Source organism: Homo sapiens, chromosome 15, assembly GCF_000001405.40.
Source record: "Homo sapiens chromosome 15, GRCh38.p14 Primary Assembly".
Taxonomy (NCBI): Eukaryota; Metazoa; Chordata; class Mammalia; order Primates; family Hominidae; genus Homo; species Homo sapiens.
This window is the reverse complement of record NC_000015.10, coordinates 86,255,102-86,281,698: the sequence shown is the minus strand read 5'-3', so window position 1 is coordinate 86,281,698 and position 26,597 is coordinate 86,255,102. Positions and strand designations below refer to the sequence as shown.

Below are 26,597 nucleotides of genomic sequence, written 5' to 3'. Positions count from 1 at the left end.
CAAGGGCTGATGTTCTGTTCCTGCATGGCTGCTAGCTAAATGTGGGACTTCCGGTCTCAGTTCTTGCATCTATAAACGTTAAGGGTGAATTAGACAACTTCACCCAACCCCTTTGCATTCTAATGTTTTATATGAATGGCCACCAGGAACCTTATCAGAGTCCAAGATATTCTAACAAGCAAAAAGAACAGTGTCCTAGATCCATGATCACTTACCCAATGGGAAAGGCAAACACATAACACGTATTTTAAAAGGAATCCCCATCCCTAGCAGACTTTTTTTTTCTTTTCTGGTTTCTGCTTTTGGTTTTGTTTTTTAGATAGGGTCTCCCTTGGTTGCCCACGATGGAATGCAGTTGTGTGATCCTGGCTCACTGCAGCCTCAACCTCCTGAGCCCAAGTGATCCTCCAACTCAGCCTCCCAAGTAGCTGGGTCTATGGGTGCATGCCACCAGGCCTGGCTAATTTTTGTATTTTTTGTAGAGATGGTGGTTTCACCATGCTGCCCAGGCTGGTCTCGAACTCTGGGCTCAAGCAATCCTCTCATCTTGGCCTCCCAAAGTGCTGGGATTACAGGAGTGAGCCACTGTGCCCAGCCCACAGTAGACTTTTCATGTGCAGTGTTTCACAGGCAAGACCATAAAAACAGCTGTTGAAGGGAGATGAATGTTGCCTGTTCTGTGTCCCTAAAGGCAACAAAACATGTTTTATAACAAATGTGGCTTGTTACAGCCTAGCTTGCAACGCACATTACTTGGATTAACTTCTTGAGCTCTCTAAGTGTGATACACAAATAATACTAGTTGTGTATTTTTTGCAATCTGGAAAACAGTAAAAATCTCTCTTTAGGCAAGACAACATATGGAGAAGAGGACAGATGCACTTTCATGAAGCAGTGAGCCAAGTGGTTCAAGATATGCCTTCTCTATGCGAAAAATTCACATTTATACCTGCACATTCCTTTTGAAGGAAAAGATGTTCTTGGTTATTATCTTTTCCAAGTCCTTATCACAGCCTTAAAATGAAAATGCTCATCCTTCAGGCTAAGTGATACATATACCCATATACACACATATGATTATAAATATGCTAATAACATTTTACATTAACATAGAGGATGAAAGTGCTTTATAGAAGATACTGGAGTTCATTTATCCTCAGGATATCCACGAAATGGTAGCAGTAAGGGTTAGTTTGCCAGCTTTTTCAAATGACAGAAAGCTGCATGGTTTAAGCAGTCCATTTTCTCACAATTGTCTTGTGAACTTTTTGCAGGGCCTTATGGTACACAGGAATGCTAACTGTGAGTCTGCACTGACTTCTTCTACTCTCCCTCATAAAAAGATTGTGGCTGTCTGTTGCAATGATCTAGTGTTTTATTCTTACACTTTTCTCTTCCACCCTGGATCCTTCTAGCCACCTCCAGCTCATGGTCATTGGAACCACTGGAGATGCTGGCGTGGCTACTTGCACACAGACTCAGAAGTTTCCCAAGATCTACCTTCCTGCTTTCTCCATTCCTCTGAATGACTGAATTTTCTTCAGATTTGCATCTCAGCTTACTTGTATGGTGTTGCTCCCCATACAACTCCAACCTACTTCATACTTAACTTGACTTTTTAAAGACAGAGTCTCTTAAGAAATGCCCCCATGTCCTGCCCCAACTTGCAGACCACTTGGGCCTTTGGAATGTCACTGATCAAGGCTCAGCCTTGTGCTCTGTCCAGGGAAGGAGATGGGACAATTAGAAAGCACCAAGTCAGTAACAACAAAACCTGGCTCCTTTAGGAAGGCTGTAGTTCCCCTACATTCCCCTCTGCACCCCATCAGGATGTCAGGGTCTCCAAAATGTTCCCAGGAAAACCTCAGAGAGCCCCTTCAGTCCTGCTGGAGTGATGCTATAAAGAGGAAGTTACCATGAGGGCTGTGTAGGTATAGGGATAGTGGTAGGCCAGGTAGCAGACATCCTCACTGTGTGGGAAGGTGACAGCAAAGGTGAGGGTATAGTAGCACTTCCCAGATGCTCCGCCTGCAACAGCTGTACTCTGGCGATAATGATTTCTAAAGAGAGAGGAGGAGAAGAGAAGAGAATAAGGGAGAGGTGGGAGGGGGGTGCAGGGTCATTTAGGGTCCTAGATGCTATAAATCTTGTGCGTTATATACTGTCCTGGCACAATGGCCTTCACTTGAAACATTTCTGTGGGTGAAACTGAGAAAAGGGAAATGTACAAGTAAACTTACTGCCAGTTCATGAGTCAGTTCAGCAACATGTAGCCTGGCCCATCTGCCTCCCAATTGTGCCGTATATGCTACCGACCTTTCCTTGCTGTCTGAAAATGAGGGCTATATAGTCACTGAGCTAGAACATCGAGGAAAATCTGAACAGTTCTGTTTTTCTTGGGTTTCAATTGGAGACATAAACTTTATCACCCAAATTTGGGTTCCCCCAATCCCTATCTCTCCCCAGACCACATAGGATTCAACTCCTTCCTTTCCGCTCCACCTGCCAAGTAGATTTATTAGCAATCACATGATATATGGAGTTCCAATTCAACATTTAACATATGTCATCTTATGTTATTATTGCAGCAACCCATCATGTGGATGATGAAACAAAAGCTTAGAAAAGTTAATTTGCCAAAGGGCTCAAAGCTAAATGGTAGATACAAGACTGAGACCCAGATCTCTCTGGCTGCAAAGGCTTTGTTCTTTCCACTGTACAATACTTTCTTCCCAAAGGAATATATTTGTCACCTCAAATGTGGTTCAGCTTCGTAAGGCTTGAGAGTGCACATTTTCCTTTGTCAAAGATGAAGAACCAATTTTGATACTTCAGAGAACAGTATCAAAGAAAATTGCTCCCAGAAGTCCATTCCGAGCAATATTTTCCCCACACGCTGCCAACTGATGCTGAGACAGCTGCACAGGCTTTCCTGAGAAATGTTATCATCAAGGCTGCATTATAATGCAAAATACACCCGGACACCAAGATGTAATTCCACCTTTGAACATTTAGAACGTTGGCTTACTAGTCCATTGTGCTTTTGGTTTTACTGGGGGAAAGGGAAGGGGAAGGGAAGAAATAGTAGGTAATTATTCTTGTGTGTTCTTGAAAAATAAAACAAACATGGGTTATTCTTTTCTACCTTTTTGCTACTTTCATGCCACTCCCTACCTAAGCAAAAAGTAAGCATGGAAGAAAGAGATAGAAAATCTGTTTTTTTATTTCTCATGGTTTTGTGGCTTTTCAATATTTATACACCTCGGAATGGGACTAAGGGAAGCTGGTAGCCCACTGACTATGGCCTGATACCTTTATCTTCCTTCCCTCAGCTTCTGCCAACATGGCAATCTGGAGCCTTGGTCATGCTAGGGAAAGGAGGGTACCCTGTAACAACATAAGCCCCCAGTGGCTGTCACACCCAGGTTTTTGGCATTGTATTAATAGAATCCGTTTCCTTTATGCCCACAGAAATAGAAATTTTAAAATAGTGTCTTCCCACATGGTGTGATATGGATCGCAATGGCTAATTAGGTCTACTTTGCCAGATTGCCCCAAAGTTCTGAAGCTTCTCCAAAAGCTATGACTCTGGTTATTAGAAAGTACGTAAAGAAGCAGATGGTAGCTCGGAAAGCATGCAAGTTACATATGCTCTACCTCTTATTTGCTTTCTGATTTCCCTTGTAAAGCCTCCGTGCAAACATACACTCAGTTTACACCTTGCTGAACAACAAATGCTAGTCAATTACTCCTCTTTACGGGAAACAGCAGTTGAAATAAAATGATCCAGGGATAACCAATCAAAGCGTGGAAGAGTGCTTCACTTGTAAGCACATATGTGTGAGTGCACACACAGATGTGCATGTATTCATGAATGTAAAGGCAGATGGAAACACGCACCTTGTGCCTCACTGTCCCCAGTTCTTCACCTACAAATGGTGGAGACAGAGCCTGTATCTTGACTCAAAAATAATAGGTGTCCCGAAGGGCCAGTAGGGTTGGTCTTATTTGGCATGGGCCTTGCTTCTTTTTAGGTTCCCCACTGCACTATTAGTACACTAAAGTCACATCACAAGCACATTTAGCCTATGCAAACTCAACCTCACCACATTCAACCACAGGAGACAGCAAGAAAGAGAGAGAAAAAATAAAATCCATGTATTTATCTCTATGTTCTTTCCCTCATTCAGGCAAAACCTGGACTCCAAGGAAAAAACAGCTGCAGTGAAATGGAAAGAGAAATAAAATGGGCTAATCCTTAGCTCTTGAGCTTCCATGGGCTCAAGATTTAAGGGAAGTGTAAGGAATTCAAATGGTAGTTCTGACTATGTCAAATCTGTCTTCTCACACCACCAACATACACACACACACACACACACATACACACACACACATGCACACACACACACTCTCTCTCTCTCTCCTAACATGCTACCCCCCATAGCTTGGTGATATTAGATTCTCCCGAGCAAGACTAAAGGCTCCCCACCAACAAGTCAGCCTTCTCCAGGATGGTTGCACACTGCTGGAATTCCAAAAAAAAAAAAAAAATCTTATTATAAACACCTTATTTAGAATGACTTTCAGCTAAAAGAAATTCAGTTACAACCCTTGTCTGGGGTCTAAACTCTGGCTGAACCTAAAGCAAATGTCAGGCATCCCCACTGGACTCTCCTGGCAGCCACCTTGTAGCAGGAGTTGTCCAGGAGATGACTCTGCTTCCAGCACACCTTCCTCTGCAGAGGCCTTTAAACTTTCCCAGGACCTTCAAAGCCAAATGTTTGATAAATCTCTAAAGTGAAACACCTGGCTTGCTACAGTTCAGTTCATCCATGATAAACTGAGATCCCATCAACAAGTTCTTTTCGTTTCCCAGTTATGATGTGGACATATCGAGTGATGTTTGCAAGAAGCAATGTTCATCCTTCCTATGTTAAATTGTTCCCATGTTCTTGCTTTGTATGGAAAGCCCTTTCCATCTTCCTTATTTAGCTAAGTCTTCTTCACTCCTCAAGATTTAACTCAAGTGTTTCCTCTTTCAGGAAGCCTGCCCTGATAGCCCCCTTATCACTCCTATTCTCATGGCCAATACTTTATGGCAAGGACCATGCTTATTCATCTGTTTATCTTTATGCTTCCCACCTTGCCTGGACATAGCAGCTGTTCAGTTAAAGTTTGTATAATACACGGACCCAAGACTCCAGGAGTAATAATTAGGTTGTTCAATGTATTATCTCCAATTCTAATGACATCCTTTCAAGGTGAGTATTATTACACACATTCTACACATGGGAATTAAGGCTCACAGAGGTTAAGTGTCTAGAGCAATTCCACACAACAAGTATAGTAAACAGGATTCAACCCCAGTTGTAGGCTTAGCTCAGAAACTAAAATTTTTTTATTATATCATCTGCTTCTTAGGAATGGGTTAAAAAGGACAAGATGTCTTATGCCCAAGGTAGCAAGTAAGAATCTGAAGTTTTGATCTTCATAAATCAGAGCTGCCTATGAACTTACAGTCTAAAATAATAGAAAAAAATGTAAAATAATCAAGATGAGAGCTAATAAAATGATCCATATACTATGACTTTTATATCATTGGTATTTGATGCCACTAAGATGTTTTTACTAATTATTAAAAATAATTGCTAGCATTCATTGAACACCTACTATGCACTAGACACTGTTCTAACCTTTACACGTGTTTTATCTCATGTTATTTTATCTTCAGAACACTTCTATTAGGTAGATACCATTATTATCCCATTTTAAGATGAAGAATCTGAAAGAAGTTGGTATAATTTGCCCAAGGTCACGCCATTAATGAGTGGTGGAAGTTTGAGTCAAAGAACTTCCTCTCCTCAATCTGTTCATCTAGATGGAGAAGCAGCCTGGTGAAAATCAGGAGTGATCTTGAAGATTAGCTGGATCCTATTGGTCATCTGGGGTCAAAAATGACCTGGGCTGGGTACATCCAGCAACTTCACAGCTAAAAGGCTTTTTGTTTGCCTTTCCATTGCCTGAACCATTTATCTTTGGAAGGATCTGCACTTTTATAATCATAAAGACTTCAATGAAGCAAGGAGCAAGTACACAAAGGCATAGTTACGAACTCAGGTTATTTCCATTTGTACTTAAAAATATGCTGGAAAGTCATTGTTTCTTTTCAGCAGGGTGCATAAAATAAGCAAATGCCATGATGGAGAATGGATTAGATAATCTTATAATGACAATGGCTCTGTTTAACAAGGGTGTATCATTTCATTTAACAGGATCTAATAAGGCAGAGCAGTGAAGTTGCCAGACTTCCCTGTGTCTGCAGCATTTCTAATATTCTATATAATACCAGATCTCTCTCTTGAGATCCCATGGAAGGATGCATGATGGCAGAGCTCTTGTATGACATTCATCTTCATGAGTGAGCTGTTCCATCTCCTCTCACGAGCGGAGATAAATGTCAGAAGAGATCAGCCGTTGTGTATTACATGGCCACTCTAAGCGCACAGCTTCCCTCCCTCTGCCCTTCAGCACCAAAATTACTTTAGACCAGAGCTGGGAGAGAATTCAAAAAGGTGTGTGGCTGTGCACATCAGAGGAAGAAGCAGACCACAGGGAACTAAATAAAAAAAGAAACTAAAAGGGCCCTTGCTTACTTTTACGAGAGGCAGGGAAAAATGAATCTGCCCATTTCTGTTCCTCCCTCTCGAGGGGCATTTTTTATTTTCCAGCCTAGTGGTCATCAAGGTGGGGAAGAGCAGGAGGTGGAATAGAAGGGGTGGGAGGTGCTCCAGGGGAGGGGCAGGGTGATCAACTGACCACAGGCAGAAAATATTAGAATTTCTCCTTAAAATGATTATTATCTAGATAGTAAGAAAGAAATTAAGTTGTCTACTATTTAATATGGGGATTGGCATGGCTGTCTCGATGTCAGCCTAATGTGGTGGGTAATTATAAAACAAACTAGATGATGGTACAGCAATCTTATCCACTCATCACTGTCGTATTCCAGGGCTGGAGTATGAAAAACACATTATATTCTGCATCTACGGTTTTTATATGTTAGTTAAGCATCGATTGTTGCATGGGAGAGGTCTCCAAAGGGAGAAGTGGGAACAGCTAGCTCCCCTCCTTTTTCTTTTGCTTTTAGCTTCCGGCAAGGTATTTAAGTTTACAGAAGCTTACTTTCATTTACAGATTGTATTACCTAAATTAAACTAAACCTCACAAACTAGACAATTACTTTTTAAAGAAAAATCTTCTTAGAAGCCATCTATTGATGATAAAATTAAATTGCAATCAAAATGACCATAAAATGGCAGAATGGACATAGCCTACCCCTACCCTTAATATTAGGTCTTTCTCGGTAATTCTCATTTTTGTTAAAATAATCTAATCAGATCTAGAAAGTTAATCAAAATTTCTCAAAATTACCAAAAAGACTATTTATAACTACATCTAATGGTAAACTCCACAACAAAATTCTAGTGTGCCCTAAGCTATAAATAGCATAAAGATGTAACAATTAGGTAGATATAAACTATTATTTATTTCATCTTTTTTTCCTAATTTAAAACTCTTCATTTTTTACATGCTTTCTTAGGTGCATAATATATTAGTATAGTAATGCATATACACTTTTTTAAATGTATAAACTAATCTGGTAAGAACACATACAAATATATCTTATTGATTAGTGGCACATTGTCAAAATAGTTTGGAGACTATTTGATGACGATTGGCCCTACAGAGTAGTCAGCCCATGTCCTTAACTGCTCATCATTGCTGTCAACTTCAACTTCTGAAAGAAAATGCAAATGCAAATCCCATTTCTTCTGAGTCTCCTTTTTCCTTTCACCCTTCTATAAACATACTCAGGTACCACGGCTCACAGTTGTCCCCACAGTGAGCACCCTGGCATCCTCTTAAAACATGGCACCAAATCTGGGACTTTAACAGCATAATAGAAATAGAGCAGAGTATCTAAAGATATATTGGAGACAAGGAAATAGGGAAGTAAAGTTCTCCCAAATTAATATACCAGAGATAATAAAGGCAGGAGAGAAGCAAAGAACTCTTCTAAAGCAAATCAACTCAAAAATCAGGATAGGTAAATAGGGAGAGAGATATTGCATAATCTAAGGCATCATTTTACAATTGAGAGAGGCGTTCTAATTTGTGGGTGAATAGAGATTACACATATCTACCCTGTTGTTACATCACAGTATTGGGAATATGTTAACACAACGTGGTGAATAATTATAAAACAAACTACATTACAATGTAGCAATCTTATCCATTCATCTCTGTTGTATTCATGGCTGGAATATGAAAAATGAATTATATTATACATTCATGGTTTTTTTCTTATCCCTCTGTTGCTCTTTAATCACATAGTAATTGTCTTGCTAATAGCTCTAAAAGCTATCAGCATTGGTTCTCCTTAGGTCAAGGCTGTGCTTTTGAAAGTGTGGCTTCTTCCCTCTTGTGGGAAATACGTGGTCCCCTTAGCCTTCTTACTCCCCAATTCCAAGAGGAGCATCCTCAACTGGAATTTATATATCCCATTAGGAAATGTTATGTTTGTCCAATCTGTTACTAACTTTCAGGTCCAAGCCAGCTCTAAGCTGGGTCTTTCAGATTTACTGAGAATAACTATTTTCAGAGAAAACTAAAAGTCATTCTTGACACACCAAGGTCCAAAAGTAGGTTTTCATTTTTTTTTCCTGCAGTTACAGACTATCACCTTGAGGTGATTTTTAATCTAAATCTCTCTGAACCGTAGGAAAGGCCCTAAGAGTCTTAAGATAGGTGAGCCAGAGAGTAGTTGCCATTTAGGTGAATGGAAAACCAACAAAGTCATAATATTGTGCAATTTTTCTAAAGGATATAAAAAAATCCTCTTTAGATTCATATCCTAATAGATCAGGGATTGAATACCTCCAACTCTTTTATTACAGGCTAGTCAGCCTGGCTCTGTGTCTTATAGACTGTCATTATCTCCATGGTGATTTTTGCCTTTGTATCTGATACAGCAACAAGATTCTTGACCTTTCCCATCTATCAATACTCCTATCTTCAAAGTCTCAAAAGCCAAGAGGCATAAGGGTATATACTCTGTTTCTTTTCCACAGTGACAACTATCCCAAACTCTAGAATGTCTGATCATACTTTTTTAGAGGCCGCTAGTAATTTCAGAAAGAGATGAAACTTACTTTATTTAAGAAAGTAAGTACTAGTCTCTCAGTTTTTAAAAGAAACTAGCACTGAACTAATAATTAATTATATATATTCTACCTCTCATAGCAATCCCTATCCTTATTTTCTTATAAATTTGAATTTTATTTTTCATCTGAAGAAAATGTACATATAAGCAATCTAGATGGCTGGAATGCATTTCTTTCATCAAAATATATGGACAATTTAAAGTTCATTATAACTTTGCAGGATAAACTGATGAAACTGGCGACTGATCAAGGATTGAAGATGAATTTTGAAACTCCTCCCTCTTTTATTTTTTTCCACAAAATTACCTTGCTATGGGGAGGAGTTACTTATGTGTAATTGTCACATATTCACCCTCCTGTACTTTGGAAAACTAAACCACGGGGTGGATAGAAACAGGATAGAACATCTCAGACATTTCACTCTCTGGGTTCAGCGGAAATAAGTAAAGAACTAAGGCTTGACACACTAATCACAGGTAGAATCTCTATGACTTCTAATATCTGACAACAAGATCTAAAAGTTTTAATGTGTTTAAATGAAGATAAACTCTTTCAGCCAATCAAAAGGTATTTCTCGAGGTCTACTGTGCGTGCCAGTGAATATGCTTATATCTCTGAAGGGCCGGACACTGGCCATTAGGACAGAGTGACAAAAAGTTTAGCAGACAAGCACAGATTGCTGATGTTTATAAGATCAATATGGAAAAGTGGGAAATTGAGAGAAAATTACAGGACAGAGAAAAGGAAGCTAACAGCGCTCTAACTTACTTGTAATAACATATTTCATGGCCTGTCCTTATCCAGGTGGGTTTGCCAAGAAGAGCCTCCTTCACAGAATATAGGGTGGGCTGCATCCCTACACAAAATCAGAAAGGAATTAATCCATGAGGGAAAGAGAGTTGTTCTGGGCCAAATAATGACCCCCACATACACATAGGTCTTAATCCCTGGAAACTGTGACTGTTAACTATATATCGCCAAAGAGATTTGCAGATATGATTAAGTTAAGGATCTTGAGATGGGGTGATTATCCTGGTGAGCCCTAAATGCAATCATAAATATCCTTGTGAAAGGGAGGTAGAGGGAGGTTTGACTATAGAAGAGATGCAACGTGGCCAGGCATGGTGGCTCATGCCTGTAATACCAGCACTTTGGGAGGCTGAGGCCAGCAGATCACAAGGTCAGGAGATCAAGACCATCCTGACTAACATGGTGAAACTCCATCTCTACTAAAAACACAACACGGCTACTAAAAAATTAGCCGGGCATGGTGGCACATGCCTGTAGTCCCAGCTACTTGGGAGGCTGAGGCAGGAGAATCGCTTGAACCCGGGAGGCGGAGGTTGCAGTGAGCGGAGATCACACCACTGCACTCCAGCCTAGGTGACAGAGCGAGACTCTGTCTCGCCAAAAAAAAAAAAAAAAAAAAAATGCAACGTGACTGAAGCAGAGAGAGATTTCAAGATGCAACACTACTAGCTTTGAGGATGCAAGAAGGGGCCATCAGCCAAGGAATGCAGAGAATGCTACTCTAGAAGCTGGGAAAGGAAAGGAAATGGAGTTTCCCCTGGAATCCTCAGAGGAAACATGGTTCTCCCAACACCTTGGCTTCAGCCTAGAGAAACTGATGTTGGACTTCTGAACCCCAGAACTGTAAGAGAACAGATTTGTCTTGTTTTCAACCACCAAGTTTGTGACAATTTGTTACAATAGCCATACAAAGTGAATATAAATGTCAAGGTTCATATTTTCTCTTCTCATACCCACAGGAATCTGTTTAGTCACTACAAAATAGAGACAGTACCCTGCACTTGGACCTAGACACCTGGGAATACTTCTTCCTCATTCAAAGCCACCCAGCAAGTTAGTATATGATGCAGCAGTTGTATGCAGAATTTCCATTCCTCAAAACATTTGAAATAAATACAGCCTGCTCGTCAGCCTTTCTCTCTTGAATATCTCCTCCAAAATGGCCACGGGTATTCAGGAGAATTTAAACTTCTTCAAGAGCTTTCTAAGAATGTAAATCAGTGTTGTCCAATTGGATTTTGTTGTTCCTCTACCTTGCAGGAAAAAAAGCAGGTCAAAGCATTTGCTCCTATGGGACTTAGGAGATGGAGAGAAGGAATAAATGAGAACGCTCACCAACCTCAAAAAGTTCAAGGTAGAGCGAGGGAATCCAGAAGCAGTGGATGTCAATGTGTGGCAGAGTGAGGGTGCCCAGCCTCCCCTCTAAAGTAGCAGTGTGCCACTGAGGGCCACTGCCTGCCTTGCTGCACCTGGCAACCCAAAACTCTGCCCAACTTCAAACCCTCTGAACCCAAGCAAAGGCTCTTTGAATCCAAACAGTCAAGAAATGTCATTCCTGGCATGTTCCAGAAAGCCCCTGCTCCCCAAGCGTTCATACCATAATTAAACTGGCTGTTGGGCTTCTCACAGTTGATGATGTTGAAGTGGTAAGGGATGGCCGCCTGCATACCGCTCACTTTGAAATAGAACCACTGCTGGTGCTGGGTGCTATTCACATCTGCGTTGACCAGCAAGTCATACTCGAACCTGCAGATCAGAAGCAAGACTGGAGGGTTATCTGGAAAGTCTTTCAGGTAAACTTCAGACACTAAGAATCTACACGTTTCAGTTTCTGGGTTACAGATCTAAGACCCAGGATCTCAGCCAGCTGGTAAGTTATACTTATCATCCTGATACCACAATATTGGGTACAGATTTTGGAAATTCATGGAGGTGAGGGGGCTTCCTAGTATTACAAGAGTCAATTACACAATAGCGCATATTTTTAAATTTTTTTAAACTATTATGGATACACAATAGTTGTATTTATTTATGGGGTACATGTGATATTTTGATACAATAATACAATGTGTAATGATCAAATCAGGGTAATTGAAATGTCTATCACCTAAGCATTTAACACTTTTTGGGTTAAGAACATTCCAATTCTAGTCTTTTTACTATTTTGAAATATTAGCACACCTTTTTATTAAACTATAATGAAGTTTTTATCTAGCTAGAAAAAATGCAAGTGTGCTATATACCAGAGAAAATTCAATCACATCTGGTTTGGATATGCCATTGCTATTTGAGATCAACGTTACTTTTGAGCCTCAATTTCCACATACGGAAAATGGAAGTGTCTAAACTTGAGGTGCTGTTTATAAAAATCAAATAACCTAGTAAATATACATCCCCCAGCAAAACAACAAACATGAATTAGGCTAGCAATGCAGGGGTTGTTTCATTTTCATTGTGATATAACTCCCATGCTATAAAATACACACATCTTAAATATACAGCTCCATGAATTTATCTACATCTGAAACCACTTGTGTGACTACTACCCAGATATAGGACATTTCCAGCACCCCAGGAGGCCCTCAGGGATCCTCTCCCCATCACTATATATCTCCAAAGATTATTATTTTTCTGATCTCTAGCAACAGAACTAGCAATGCAGTTTTGACTTAAACATTATCAGGATATTTCATTTTTAAAAATGTTGCTCCATCCTCTTGGTATTCTCTTTGCATTGCTCTTATGAAAAGGAAAATGTTTTTGCCCCAATCCATTCATACTCTCCCACACTGGACCCCTGGTAAATGGCATTGTGTGAGATTTATGAAACGCTGAGCTTGGTATAAGACAGATGAGAGCAGAGTAGAGCTATCTGATGGAGTCTAGTCCTCACACTGTCTCTGTGGGCACCACACTCTAACCACTGGGCTCACCACACAACACATGACACATAACCCCATGGAGTGGCACTCACAAGAACAATTCTGGAAAGTCTATGACCCTCAAATTGTCTGCTATTCCCACAGTGCTCTCTCCAAAAAGTAATCATAAAAAATTCCTTACCCATAAGTAGGTTTGTTTCTGCTATTTGACTCTATTACCCTGACCATAACTGATGAATTTAGGATTTTAGACTCTGGTCCAAGGGAAATGTATAGAGAAAAAGACCTGAGCCGGGCCAGCAGCTTAGCCGCATCCTGATCTGATAACTGTTCCACCAGGAGACTCATAATCAGGTCTCCTTTCCTGGATCCTTTGAACATGATATCTGGAGAGAAGAAATAGTAAAAGCAGGAGCCACAGGAAGAAGTGGAAACTAAGCCAACAACACAAAGAGGGCTGAGAAAGAGTCTTGACATGACTGTCTTTCCCGTCTTCAGCCTGATTAAACTGGTCTCTGTTTTATTTGTTGGGCTTCCTTGAAATATTTTATGTACAAAAAAAAAAATCACCCTTCACCTCCCCCAAAGAGGAAGAACTTCAAAAATGAATCATCAGGTGGATATGAGGGAGGTCTCAGCTATACTGAATTCTGAGCTCCAACAATGGCGAATATGCATCCCTGAGTAAGAACGGATGTTGACTAAGTGCTGACCATGCGCCAGGTACTACTCTAAGAGACTTAAGTGTATTACTTAGCTCTCATGAAATCCCAAAGTAGTAGGTGCGATTATTGTTCTCATTTTGTGAGTGAGGAAATAAAGGCATGAAGTGAGTTAGGAAACTTGCTCAGTCTCCTGGTTGGAAGGTGATGAAGTTACCCTGGCACTCTGATTCTGATGTCTGTCTATGGCCACCACACCATTATCTGTTCTGGACTGTTTTTTCAGAAGTTCACCTATAGAAGATGAATCATGTATCTTGCCTTTTGGTATATGGGAAATATATCCACACTGCTATAATAGAAAGAATTTTAACATAGTGAGAACCGCGGTCTCTTCTGACACTGAAAAAGAAGTAAAATTCATTTGTGTTTTATTTCCTTTCTTTTAGTTTGTACAGCCCTAGGCTTTCCTTGGCTAGGATATCCTTTTCTACTGAGAGCTCATCTGTAGGTTCTGCTAGAGAGGCATGGTACTGCATCTTCCCTTGAATGCAGGATGGTTCACCTTTCTCTGGGAAGCTCATGATTTTTGCCACCTAAGTACACAGGAATGAGAGCAACAGGCATAGAGAAGTGCAGGAATAGCAAGCCCATGTACCCTTCCCTTCAACAGAATCAGCCTTGGCATCAAAGTATAAACATCCCAGTCAAAGTGCTCTCACACCGAAATATGGACCCATTATTTGAAACACAAGACACATTAATAACAGTTCACTTCTACTGAATGGCTCACTTAGCTATGATATCAGTGTAGCTATGATATCAGTACACTTAGTGGTGTACTGGTAAATGTTTAACAAATGACTCTCTGAAAGGAAAAACCTTCACTCGTACTGTTTGCCAATTTTTATGATATAAATATTCCCACCATGGCTGATTTCAAGCCACCAATGCAAGGTCACTGAACAGAGCATGGGGAAGAGATAGTCACAGCTTGCTCTTACGAACTGACAGGAGACACCCACTGTGGTTTTCCTTACTTACTCACGCACTTGGATGGCTTTGCGAAGATTTCCTGACTCAAATTTGGAGAAGAACCGTAAACAATTGGAAGCATTGTCTTGCAAAGGCCTACAATGAAATAAGGAACATGTGAACATATGTGTTATCACTACTCTTTGAAAACAGTGTGATGATTCTTTTTTTCATTATTATTTTTTTGAGACAGAATCTCACTCTGTTGCCCAGGCTGGAGTGCAGGGCGGGATGTCAGCTCACTGCAACCTCCGCCTCCCAGGTTCAAGCGCTTCTCCTGCCTCAGCCTCCCGAGTAGCGGGACTACAGGCACCCGCCACCATACCCAGTTAATTTTTTGTATTTTTAGTAGAGACAGAGTTTCACCATGTTAGCCAGAATGGTCTCCATCTCCTGAACTCACGATCCACCTGCCTCGGGCTCCCAAAGTGCTGGGATTACAGGCGTGAGCCACTGCGCCTGGCCGATGATTCTTAAAGCTAAGCTTTCTCTTATAGATCTTTAACCTGGATTTTCATCATGCTGTTTTAGGAGGAGGAGTGGATTATTAACAGGAAACATGTCTATTCTCATGCCATTAAGAGAATTCTCCATGCCCCACCTTCCTCAGATGCACGAGACTACCTACCAAGGCTCATCTAAACTGAAGACAACTTTATTTATAACATCACTTGGCTGGATGAGCCTCCGAATATCCTCAAATATCCTGATCCTGAAAAAGAAAATTGAAAACATTTTAAGGGTCGGCCTTCTCTCCCTAGCTCACTCATCCTGTGATCACCTGGGAAGAACTTTGGGGGTCACCAGAAAAATATGAAAGCACAGAGAAGTTTAATAACACCTCAACTTTGAGCTCAGAGCATACAAATAGCCCTGCCCTTCTTCTTTCTCTGCCTCTATCAAAAAATAAAACTGCATAAGAAGTAGGAATGTAGGAAGTAGTGATGTTAGATTTCAGTTAGAGAATTCTTGGCTTGAAGAATTTTATCAAAAGCACTTGCGTTGGGGGACTTTGGAACTTTTCTAGCTGTGGGAATAAGAGGGTAGTTTGCACTGAGAAAGTTTTGAGGAAGACATTAGGACTATTAGCTGCTAGCATCTTCAAGGTTTGGGAGGATCCAATAAGCCTGTGTACCCTTGTGCAATTTATATTCCTTGGGCTCTGTCTGCTCCGGTAGGCTAAGGTCAATCTTCTAAGAAACACCAAAATCTGGGATATTTAACTAAGAGAGAGAAAGAAAGCTTAGAAGGTCTTTCAGATTACCTTCCTGAATTTCCAATCCAGTTCATAAGGGAGGTGTGAGAGAAGGGTGAAGAAAAGGTGGACATGAGGCCTGGACTCAGAGGGAAGATGTCCTATGCAGGGATAACATGGTGCTAGAACAGCCCTTGTGATCTGTTTCTCAAAAAATGAGCATGACAGATAAAGTGCAGGGGGTAGGGTTGGATATGTCAGCCAGGACCCCAAGTGGGAGCAGTTTGGGGGATTTACCATCAAGAGAATAATTTACAGATGACGTGGATAATAAGAAAACTTTCTGGTCTGCCCACTTTGCTCCATTGACTTGGTATGTGCATACAGTTTTTTTTCAAGGAGAATAATGTTTTCTTTGCCTTTAGCAGTTTTCATTTTAATCTCAATATGCTGAGCCATGGGTAAAGCTCCCTTTCCTGCCTTCTGGGAATAATCTATCAACCAGTGTTTCTTCCCTGGAGAATTTCTCTTCCATCAACTCCCCGCCAGCTCTGTGAGGCAGCAAAACTATTCTCCTAACTAAGCCAGGGTCTATAATAGCTAGGGCTGTGGAATGGAGGCACACCTCCTCCTTTCTATTAGCAAGAGATCCCCTATCAATTTGTAGGAAGCAAGAAAAGAGATCCCAAATAATCAGCTCTTGATTTTCCTGAAAACCTACTTTTGAGGAAGGAGCCCAGTATTTGGAAAAACTGGATGATCTTTCTTTGTGATAGTGGTTTGCAATGGAGATAGGATAAGGAGTTGTATTAGAATTACTCAAGGAATTTTTCATCAGAAAATGCATGCCTACCACTACCCCACACTTGATTCTGAAAAGTCCTTGCAGGAAGCAAAGTTTGTGTGTTTGGCCAGTTTGCCAACAGGCTTTGACATGTTCCTGATTAATGCTCTCTTTCCTATAGATAGTAGAATTATCTGTACAAACCATTTTACTTATAAAATTATCAAAGAACAGAAAAAAAGAGCTCCCAAGTCAGTAGCGCCATCACCTTTGGACTCCACATTTTCGTTCCAACATAGGCTGGGTGGTGGGAGGGGGACAGTGTCCCCAGACATCAGGAAATGCCATCATCTTGAAGTCCACCACAGAGCTGGTTCTTCTGGCTTTGGCCATATAAAGATAGGGATCGTGGAAAGGGACACGCTTCAGATGTGTCTGCAGAAGCTTATCTATTACTTTGACAACTTCTCTAGTCCTAGTGGAATTAGAAAAGGAGGCACTCATCCTTGGGCAGAAAATTGCATCTACGTCCCAGGCATCTGCTTTCGGGGAAGCCTGAATGTCAGGGATTTCACTTTCAGAAGAATCTCTCCTGAGACTATTGGATTGCACATTTTGGTACAGGTTCACTCCAGGATTTTTTTTGGAGCCTAGATGCACAGTGGACCTTCCCGTCTTCACCCTGCACAGAAGGGAAGTCTGGACAGCATATTCTCTTTCTTGCCCACAGGAGCTTTGGTCCTTGCTGTAGCAATGCTGTTTTGAGGAGGCAGCGGCTGGAATGTGGTGGTGATTGGCATACTGAGTCTTTTCAGAGTTCAAATCATCTCCAAGTTTGGACTGCAGTTCCTTCAGGTTCAAAATGGAATACAATATGTTAGTGTGTCCTTCCAGGTAGGGAATACAATTTGATCCCTGTCCTTACTCTCTGGGCACAGAGCTAAGCATAAATCCTGTGAATGTGGAAGCTTTTTCCAAGGTCAACTAAAGACTAACCTTCAAGAGTCAAATAAATGACAGAATCATAGAAACTCATGTTTGGAAGGGGCTTTTGGTGGGTCTAGTCCAATGCAAAACAGTATTTGAATGTCTTCAAGACCCCCTACTAAATTACAATCTGGTTGGAAAACCATATTTATGGGGGCCTCACTGCACCCCAAGGCAGTGCCTTTCACTTGAGAATAATTCTGTTTATTTGAAAAAAATTTTTATACTAAACTGAAATTTCCTTCCCTGAAACCATCCTTCTGCTTTCTGAAGCCAAATAGAATATATTAACTCCCTCTGTACACATGACTTAGCTTATACCCTTAGATGTAGGCAAATTCATGATTACTAAGAGCCATAAGAAAATAATGGAGATCAAAAAGCAGGTCTAAAATATCGATGGCAGCAACAGTGGCAGCAGCAACTAGGCACAGAATTAGCATCACCAGGTCTAATGTTCCCAATTTGTTTCTATTAAAAAAGAAAGCCTGAAGTCAGTATGTCCACCTTCAAAAAGCCATCTAGGACAACGGTCCCACTTTGGCATGAGAACAATTAAATCATCATGAATTTTTATTTGCTTTTTCAGTGCATGGGGGCAGGGCACCCTGCCCACCAGACAATAGGCAGTGATGTGTACCTTCATGCTACAGTCATGCATTACCTAACAATGGGGAATGCTCTGAGAAATGCATCATCAGGTGATTTCATTGTTGTATGAACATCATAGGGTGTGCTTACACCAACTTAGATGGTTTAGCCTACGGTGTACCTAGGCTATATGGTGTGGCCTGTTGCTCCTAGGCTACAAACCTGTACAGCATGTTAAAGTGCTGAACACTGTAGGCAATAGTAATACAATGGGATTTGTGTGTCTAAACATAAAAAGGTGCAGTGAAAATACAGTATTATAATCTTATGGGACCATCAAGGAATATGCTGCCTGTCATCAATGGAAATGTCATTATGCAGCACATGACCTTGTATCCATCCTAAGTGTAAGGTGTCAGACTGAAGAACTCTTGCATACATCGTAACTTTTTTCCATTTTTGCCATCTTTTCCCACTTTTGTTTAGCATTCTGCTTTTCTCTAAGGAAGAGCCCAGAAGCATATGGCTAATGATGAGCAATGCTTTCCATCTGGACACCCTGGTTTGGCCTCCCAGGATCTGCAAAGAACCCATCATGCATCGTCAAAGATCAGAACCACAGCATATGTCCTACCTCAAAGCTATAGGAGAGCTCAAGACACATCACCTCATATTGCATCAGTTCCTCTTCAGGTCGGTCAAGACCAGGTTTGGAACTCAGCTTGTTCACGTCTGTTTCCAAGTCATCATCCTAAAATGGAATAGTCATAGAAGAGATTACAGTCAGGAAATCCACCCTGAGAAGCATCAAGACATGATATGTATGTGCTTCTTCAGAATCTTAGGACATGGTTTTCTTGCCTCCAAATTATAGCACTGGCCCATCCAGTGAAGAATTTGTTATGCTGGATTGTATTTTTAAAATAAAAAGAAAGAAGATAAAGGACTTGTCTCAGCATTTATGTCAGTATTTATCAGCCTTCATCAGAAATAAAAATTTGTATAAAATGAGATAAACTACATAATTGATAAAGCACATTATAAAAGAAATTCTTTATCTCATTGCCACTATCGTCAGCATCATTGTAATTATTGTCCCTCTTTATCTATCTTTGACATTTAGGTTTGTCAGTCTTTTCACAAACATTTAATCAGCACCGACTGTGAGCAGGTACTCTTCCCGGTACTGAAGTTTCGGTCACAATGGAACAGACAAACATCCATGCTTCCATGGTATTTGCCTTTTAGCGAGAGAAGAAAAACAGTAAAGAAGAAAGTAAACAAATGAATAAGTTAATTTCCAACAGTTATAACTCCTCTTGAAATGATAAAAGAGAATGATGTTACTAAGACTGGGGAATGGGAGGCTGTTTGGATTAGGAGATCTCAGGAGGACTCATAAGGAGGTAAAGTTTTAACTGAGACCTAAATGGCAAAAAAAAAAAAAAAAGCCAGCTATGCATAGGCCTAGCAGTGAATTATTAGCAGAAGGAAAAGCTTCAATTTGCTTACAGAAAGAAGGTGGCTGTTGCATACAGAATAAGAGGAAGATTGCAGGAGATGAGATTTGAGAAGTAGGCGGGAGAGAAATTATATCAATCCTTATGAGACCTGGGGAGGAGCTGGTATTCTCCTACTACATCTTTATCCCTTTGTACATTTAAAAATTTACCAAGGCACCGTGAGTCTTTTATTTATTGGACTGAATAATCCCAGGCACTTTATTGTTTATTCTTGATAGATCACCATTTCGAAACCTTTTAATGATGATGGTGACTCTCCTCTGAATACTTGTGTGTTTTCCAAGGGTTGTAGGGTCTTACAGAGAAAAGACACCAGGAATGAACCAGCCCAGTCTCTTCATCTTTTCATATCCTAGATTAAGTTTCCTTAATGAAATAGAGAAAAAAAAAATACCATATGTTTTACAAGTATATTTCATTAGTTAAGGAAAAACCTGGCAGTACTGAAAGGTTAAATCCAATAAACGTGGAAAATAAATGTTTGTATTTCTGATCCAAGGGGCAAAAAAATGCAATGTTCCATCTATGTTTCACAATTTTTCTCCAAACTTCAAATTAAAAGAAAAGTAATTCCCATGAGTTTCATTTAATGATATTTTCAGGTACAGTATACACACCATGACCAACTCCATGGCCCCCACTCTTGTGCTTTGCAGCTTCATCCATCAATTCCTGCTTGCCTTCACCCCCTCCACTGCAACCTCAGCCATGGCCCAGGGTGGTACTAAGGGAAACACAACCTGGAAGGCCACTGGGAAGGATGTCCCCACCAGTGAGTAAGGCTGTGCTCCAACTGGTGCATCTGAAGGGAGGAGAGTCATTCAACCCATGAGCTGCAACCTAATTCATTCCACATGTGACTAGGCGACCCACTTAGCCTTAGAGCAGGGGTTAATAAACTATGGCCCACTGGTTGTTTTTGTCAATAAAGTTTTATTGGAAAAGAGCCACACCCATTCATTTGATCATGGTTGTTTTCTCAGTGCAACAGCAAAGTTTAATAGTTGTGACAGAGACCATTTCTGCCTTCAAAGTTCTGGAGCTTAGTCTCTGAGAACCAGGCACTCAGCCAGGTTGCCACCTCCTTTTGTATTTCTTATAAATGGCATTTATTCTTATCTGGAGGTGGCCTGCTTCTGTGTCCTCACAGCAGCCCAGGCAGTCCTTTACCAGCTAGAATTCTGGTACCCACCTAATCCAGGTAATGCTTTCTGGCTCTTGTTCCATAGGTTGGAGCTTTTGGACATTGTCTTTTGGCTGCCTCAGACTTGAGTTCACCACTCCATTGAAGGTGGTGATTAGAACACTTAATAAGGACAAACTCCAAGTCCACTAGACTGTGAACTCTTTGAAGATAAAAACTATGTCTTATCTGTTTGTGTTTCAGATTATCATCCCCAAGAATTTAGCATGTTGCATACGGATCATACCCAATAAAGCACCTGAAAGAATAAAAAATTAAAAAGAAAGGAAAGGAAGGAAGAAGGAAGGGAGAGCTTGAATTCACTCTGTTTATCACCCTCCTCTTCAGAGTTTGTCAGAATCTAATGCTTGTGTATGTGAAGACAGCCCACATCTAATACGTTGACCTTGGCAGTTTTCAATCAAATCATGGCACCCTACTTTCCACTCTCATAGCCCTTTATGGATAAAAGATCCTCTTAATCATTCTTACTAACAGGCTGGTCCCAATTATTACCTAAGATTGTCAAATGGGAAGGCCACAGGTTAAAGGCCTGGATCAGTGCTGTGGCCAGAAATAAAATATGCCTGACTTCTTGTTCACGCCTCTGGCAGCAAATGCTGCTGGTTTCCCCAGGGAAAATCCAGTTTTCTGGAGCAGTTTCCTTGCTCTTGCTGTGCCTCCAATTTGAGCCCTGACTCTCATGCTCCTCTCCTTCTCTACAATTCATCCTCACACTGACTTCTCATCTTCTTGCCTTGGCTTGAAGCCTTTTGAAGAATAGTTTTCAAGCTCTTACCAATTTGTCTTGTGCTTCTTTGCCAGTTGAGTTTATTTATTTGTTTAGGGTTCTCTCTACCCCACCCCTCCATCCTCTGCAAAGCGTGGGCCAAGGGAACTATCTGAACACCCTCCCTCCCATGCTGTGGGAAGTCAGGCACTATCGTGCACCCGGTCCCTCCCCATCAGATACATGAAGTGGGTGACACTCTGCATCAGACATTCAGTTATCAAAGAGCAAGCAAGAGGGGAGGGGAAAGTGGCATTGATGAATGACTGCAGCAGCACAGTATTATTCAAATAATTCAGCACGTACTCCATAGGCCTGCACCATCAAGCCACAGCAAAGATCCAATTTGCTACGGATGACTTCAGAAATGATTCTATTTATCAACAAAACCCAGAGAACACCAGACTGTCAATAGCAGTCTAAACCTATAGATGTAGCTTAAGAGGTAGTCCCTGTATGTCTGCTACTACCATCAGCAGGGTGAGTGATTATCATGACAGAGAACTCAAAAGCCTCTTTCTTTCTAGACAGATAGGAAAGAAGGAGAGAAAGGAAAGGAGGGAAGATTTTTGATTTTTTTTAATTTGAGTTTCATCCCCAGTAAATGTCATAAAAGGCAGCATTGACCTTAATTTACTGACTCTTATTTTACAGACAACAAAATTAAGAAACTATAACTTAAAGGAATTTGTCAAAGTCCATGTCCACCAACAGAAATGGAGATAGAATTATAATTCACAGACAAATTCTTATTCTAGAGCAGTAGTCCTCAACTAGGGGTGATTTTGGCAAGTCTAAGAGATATTTTTGGTTCATCCCTGGAGGGTAATGAGGTAGGTACTACTGATATCCAGTGGGTAGAGGTGAGGAATGCTGCTAAACATCCTACAATGCACAAGGCAGCCTCCCACAACCAAGAAGTAACCGGTCTAAATGCCAACAGTGCCAAGGTCTAGAAAACTTGTTGTACAAAAACAGTCAGTAAACTATATCCCACTGCTTATTTTTGTAAACAAAGACTGCTTGGAGGCTGGGCACAGTGGCTCATGCCTGTAATCCCAGTACTTTGGGAGGCTGAGGCGGGCAGACCACAAGGTCAAGAGTTCGAGACCAGCCTGGCCAATACGGTGAAATCCTGTTTCTACTAAAAATACAAAAATTAGCTGGGTGTGGTGGTAGGCATCTGCAGTCCCAGTTACTTGGGAGGCTGAAGTTGGTAAATTGCTTGGATCCGGGAGGTGGAGGTTGCAGTGAGCCAAGATCACACCACTGCACTCCAGCCTGGTGACACGAGTGAGACTCTGTCTCAAAAAAAAAAATTTCTTGGAACACAGCCATGCCCATTTGTTTACAAATTGTCTATAGCTGTTTTGTGCTACAACAGCAAAGTTGAGCAGTTGTGACAAAGACTGTATGGTCCACAAAGCCTAAAATAATTACTATTGGACCTTTTATAGGAAGTTCACCAACCTCTCTTCTATAGAATAGGCCTTTTTGGGAGGGGGACCAAAGAGCAACACTTCTCTGCTGGCCAGGTTGTGCACTGTGCAACTTAAGGGAAAACAATTCACAGAGTCTGATGTCAATGGAATTGTACAATGCAGCACCCCTGTGCAGAAAGGATAAGAAGAGTGACTTACAAAGGCAGAAAGCTTCCTGGAAAATCTTTCTAGGGTCTTAAATGGTCTTATCAAATATACCAACTCCAAGTGTTAAATGTGTGCCTAAAGGTCATCTGAATAAAGTATTGGTGTCATAATAATGTATAGGATAGCCTCTGACTTTATAATGAGACATTGTACCGGACCTACCAAGATGAAAATGACAACTTGGAAATCAATAACAGTAGCTATCATTTACTGCGCATCACGACCACTGGAGTGGCAGTACTAAAGTCAGTTCTTAAAATTTACACTGGGCTTGGGCAAACACAGGAAGTAATATTTTTCTGTGCATGATGTGACTATGGACATCATTAGAAGCATGGGCTGGTGTACCTACTTCCACTTTCCCATCTTCAGTATCAGAGTCTTTGTCCACTTCATCATCGCCATCATCTTCAAAATCCTCTGGATGGGGAAAAAGAGGTGAAATAAGTGAAGTTTCCCCTTTGCCCGGGATTTAGGATTTAGATTTTCACCATACAGTGGTTCTTTCTTCTTCCTCTCTCAAATAAGGGGCCCAATATTAATTGCACAATATCCCACCACACACAAATGCTTATTGGTCGGTATAAATGGTGTTCATGTAGGCATGTCGGGGCACTAAGTCATAAAGTTTAAACAGTTATCCCACATTGAATGCAAAATAAGTGCAGAAAAAATGACACATGAATACCACTCTGGATTCTCCCATGAAAGTTAGAGGTATTTATGCAACTAGTGTAGCCAAAGTTTAGAGATCACACACAAACGAAATGTGTTATAACCTAAATATCACCTTGATTGAGCCCCTAATTTTTTGATTGAGGAAGTTATTTAAAACAAAAGTCCATAGAAGGCATCTTGTACCATTGTGGCAAAATTATGCCTATAGAAAATCTGTTCGTACTAGGATCTTTTGACAGGAAGATCTTCCCAGAGATTAAATAATAATACTTTCAAATATTCCAATATGACTAGCCTGCAGTTGTAAATAACAAGAGTTTTATTTCAATTTCATCCTTAGGGCAAATTAATTCCACAGTCAGTATGCTGCAGAGATTCGATCATGGGATTCTAAATAGACTTTTTTAAAATTAGCTGAGATGACTGTACAGGCATTTGATAGCTACCAAGCAAAGCAGAAACAGTTAATAATGAAGAACAAAATAAGCGAGCTTGGTTTTTTCTGTTTATGAAATCACCCTGTTTATGAAAATCAAAACTGCTTTTTCATATATGTCTCTAATTAGCTTAATAGACAATTATGGTTGACCTATAAAATAACGAATTCTATTTTCACCCATGTTCCTGGGAAACATGGTCAAAATGCAAAAACTCATCTTAAAGGTCATAGTTACCAACTTATTTTACCTTCAGGTAGATCATGTGGAGGTTCAGTGGTGATGCACCCGGGGACCGGGAAGGCATAGGCACTGCTGGCTGTGACCAAGGGAAGTGGACTCGTAGGGTAGCACTGCCTCAGGATCTGAAGCACCACAGAGATGACGGGCTCCATGCTCTTGTCATCCAGGCAGTTCTGAGCAAAGGGAAGATTATATCAGATGCCAACATCTGGGCACAGTCCCCTAGCTGTAACACAGCTAATAACACTCTCCAAGCTGTAACACAGCACAGTCTCCTAGCTGTGTTTCAGCTAATGAATTATACGCATGGACAGACCGTAAACAGCCTTAATGTAGAATGTCAAATTTGAACATTCCAACATAGAATTTTGTCTAATGTAGAATCTGCACTTTTCTGTCTCTTGCTCATTTCATACATCACTGCAATGAATTCAGTCTGAATACAGACTTAAAATTCTTTCAAGGGATGCTGCGCCTAAGGCAAGACATTGCTCAGGATAGCTGGGGGAAGAGGAGGCCGGTGTCTTTTCTCAGCCACCCATGTGTCACTGTGAATTATTGCCTACGTTAGGCAATGAGCAGCTGAATTGATGGAAGTTTTGCTTTTCTCTTTCAGCTGTCTTCTGTGGAGAAAAATATTTTTTAAAAAAGATAAAATATGAAATCAGAAGGAAAGACTAAGTGAATCCCAAGTACCTAAATTAAATTACATGCCTCTTCTCAAAGCCCACAGTGTTGATCCCTCTTGGTACCTTCCCAAATCAGAGAAAAATTGGGTTTGCAGATGTAACATTTTGATACTGATGGAACATGACAAGACCCTTCTTTTCAGACACTGTGAAAAATGTAGGAACAAGTTCACTAAATTGAGAGACAGAGAGTTGAGTATAGTTCAGTATCTCTTTGGCAAAAACACAACCATTTTCTTCAGTATCTTTGTAAATGTTTTGTCTACTGACTTGGTACAGGAAGATGACTTGTGGGGTCCCCCAGTTTGCTATTCCTAAAGGGTGCAGAAAGCTCTGAGGCCAATAAGTCACAGAAGTGGAGATGGTGGATGCTAGGTACACACCACAGGGTAGTGTGAATGTCCGTGGTGCTGCTGAACTATGGCATCTCCAGACTCAACATTACAGGTACTTCCATGTGAAAGAACATGGAGGAAAAAAATTAATAAAAATTTTTCCATGAATTTAAGCTACCCAAATGACTCCAAAATATAAGTAAGTCAACTTTCTTTTTTTTTTAGACAGTCTCACTCTGTCACCCAGGCTAGAGTGCAGTGGCACGATCTCAGCTCACAGCAACCTCCACCTCCCGGGTTCAAGCAATTATCCTGCCTCAGCCTCCTGAGAAGCTGGGATTACAGATGCCTGCTACAACACCAGCTAATGTTTGTATTTTGAATAGAGACGGGGTTTCCCCATGTTGGTTAGGCTTGTATCAAACTCCTGACCTCAGGATAAAATACCCACCTCAGTCTCCCAAAGTACTGGGATTACAGGCATGAGCTACCACGCCCAGCCTTAAGTAAGCCAGCTTTCAAAATGAAATGTCTTAATGCAATCAAGAGTGCTCTCTCTCCTTCAGTGTGTGCCAGTCATACCCATCAGGTGTTCTGAATCAACAGCCTCAGGATACACAGCAGGAAATACTCTTGGTGGAAAATGAATTAGTTTTGGCTAATTCATTATGGAGGCTAATGAACAGTTGAAGCTATTTCACCCTTTGGTCTGGTCAAATGGTCTCAAGTGTTTCATGAAAAGTATCAGCAATGGGAAAAAAATAAAACAGAGTCTCAAGGAGGAAGCAAGAAGGTGAAAGAGATGGCTTATCAGATATAATATTCTAAGCTCCAACCTTGGTAGAGATAGAGCCAGCCCAAGCCAGGGAATTCAGTCAAAAAAGCCAACATTTTGGAACC

At 40.8% G+C, this 26,597-nt stretch overlaps 1 protein-coding gene across 11 annotated transcripts in view; it reads right to left on the bottom strand.

The window, feature by feature from the left end:
* Window positions 1-26,597, bottom strand: part of AGBL1 (AGBL carboxypeptidase 1) — a 951,857-nt gene that overhangs the window by 749,778 nt on the left and 175,482 nt on the right. For 5 of the 11 annotated variants that reach the window (XM_011521227.4, NM_152336.4, XM_017021920.3 and 2 more), the window contains exons 8-16: window positions 24,681-24,846; window positions 23,668-23,735; window positions 18,805-18,921; window positions 16,861-17,441; window positions 15,242-15,325; window positions 14,623-14,709; window positions 11,632-11,780; window positions 9,993-10,080; window positions 1,916-2,060 (exon numbers count right to left, since the gene is read on the bottom strand). In XM_011521227.4, the coding sequence (XP_011519529.1) occupies window positions 1,916-2,060; window positions 9,993-10,080; window positions 11,632-11,780; window positions 14,623-14,709; window positions 15,242-15,325; window positions 16,861-17,441; window positions 18,805-18,921; window positions 23,668-23,735; window positions 24,681-24,846 (1,485 nt within the window). Of the gene's footprint in view, window positions 1-1,915; window positions 2,061-9,992; window positions 10,081-11,631; window positions 11,781-14,622; window positions 14,710-15,241; window positions 15,326-16,860; window positions 17,442-18,804; window positions 18,922-23,667; window positions 23,736-24,680; window positions 24,847-26,597 lie in introns of those variants that run through there. The other 6 variants (XR_007064423.1, XR_931751.4, XM_017021921.3 and 3 more) reach the window with 4 other exon arrangements.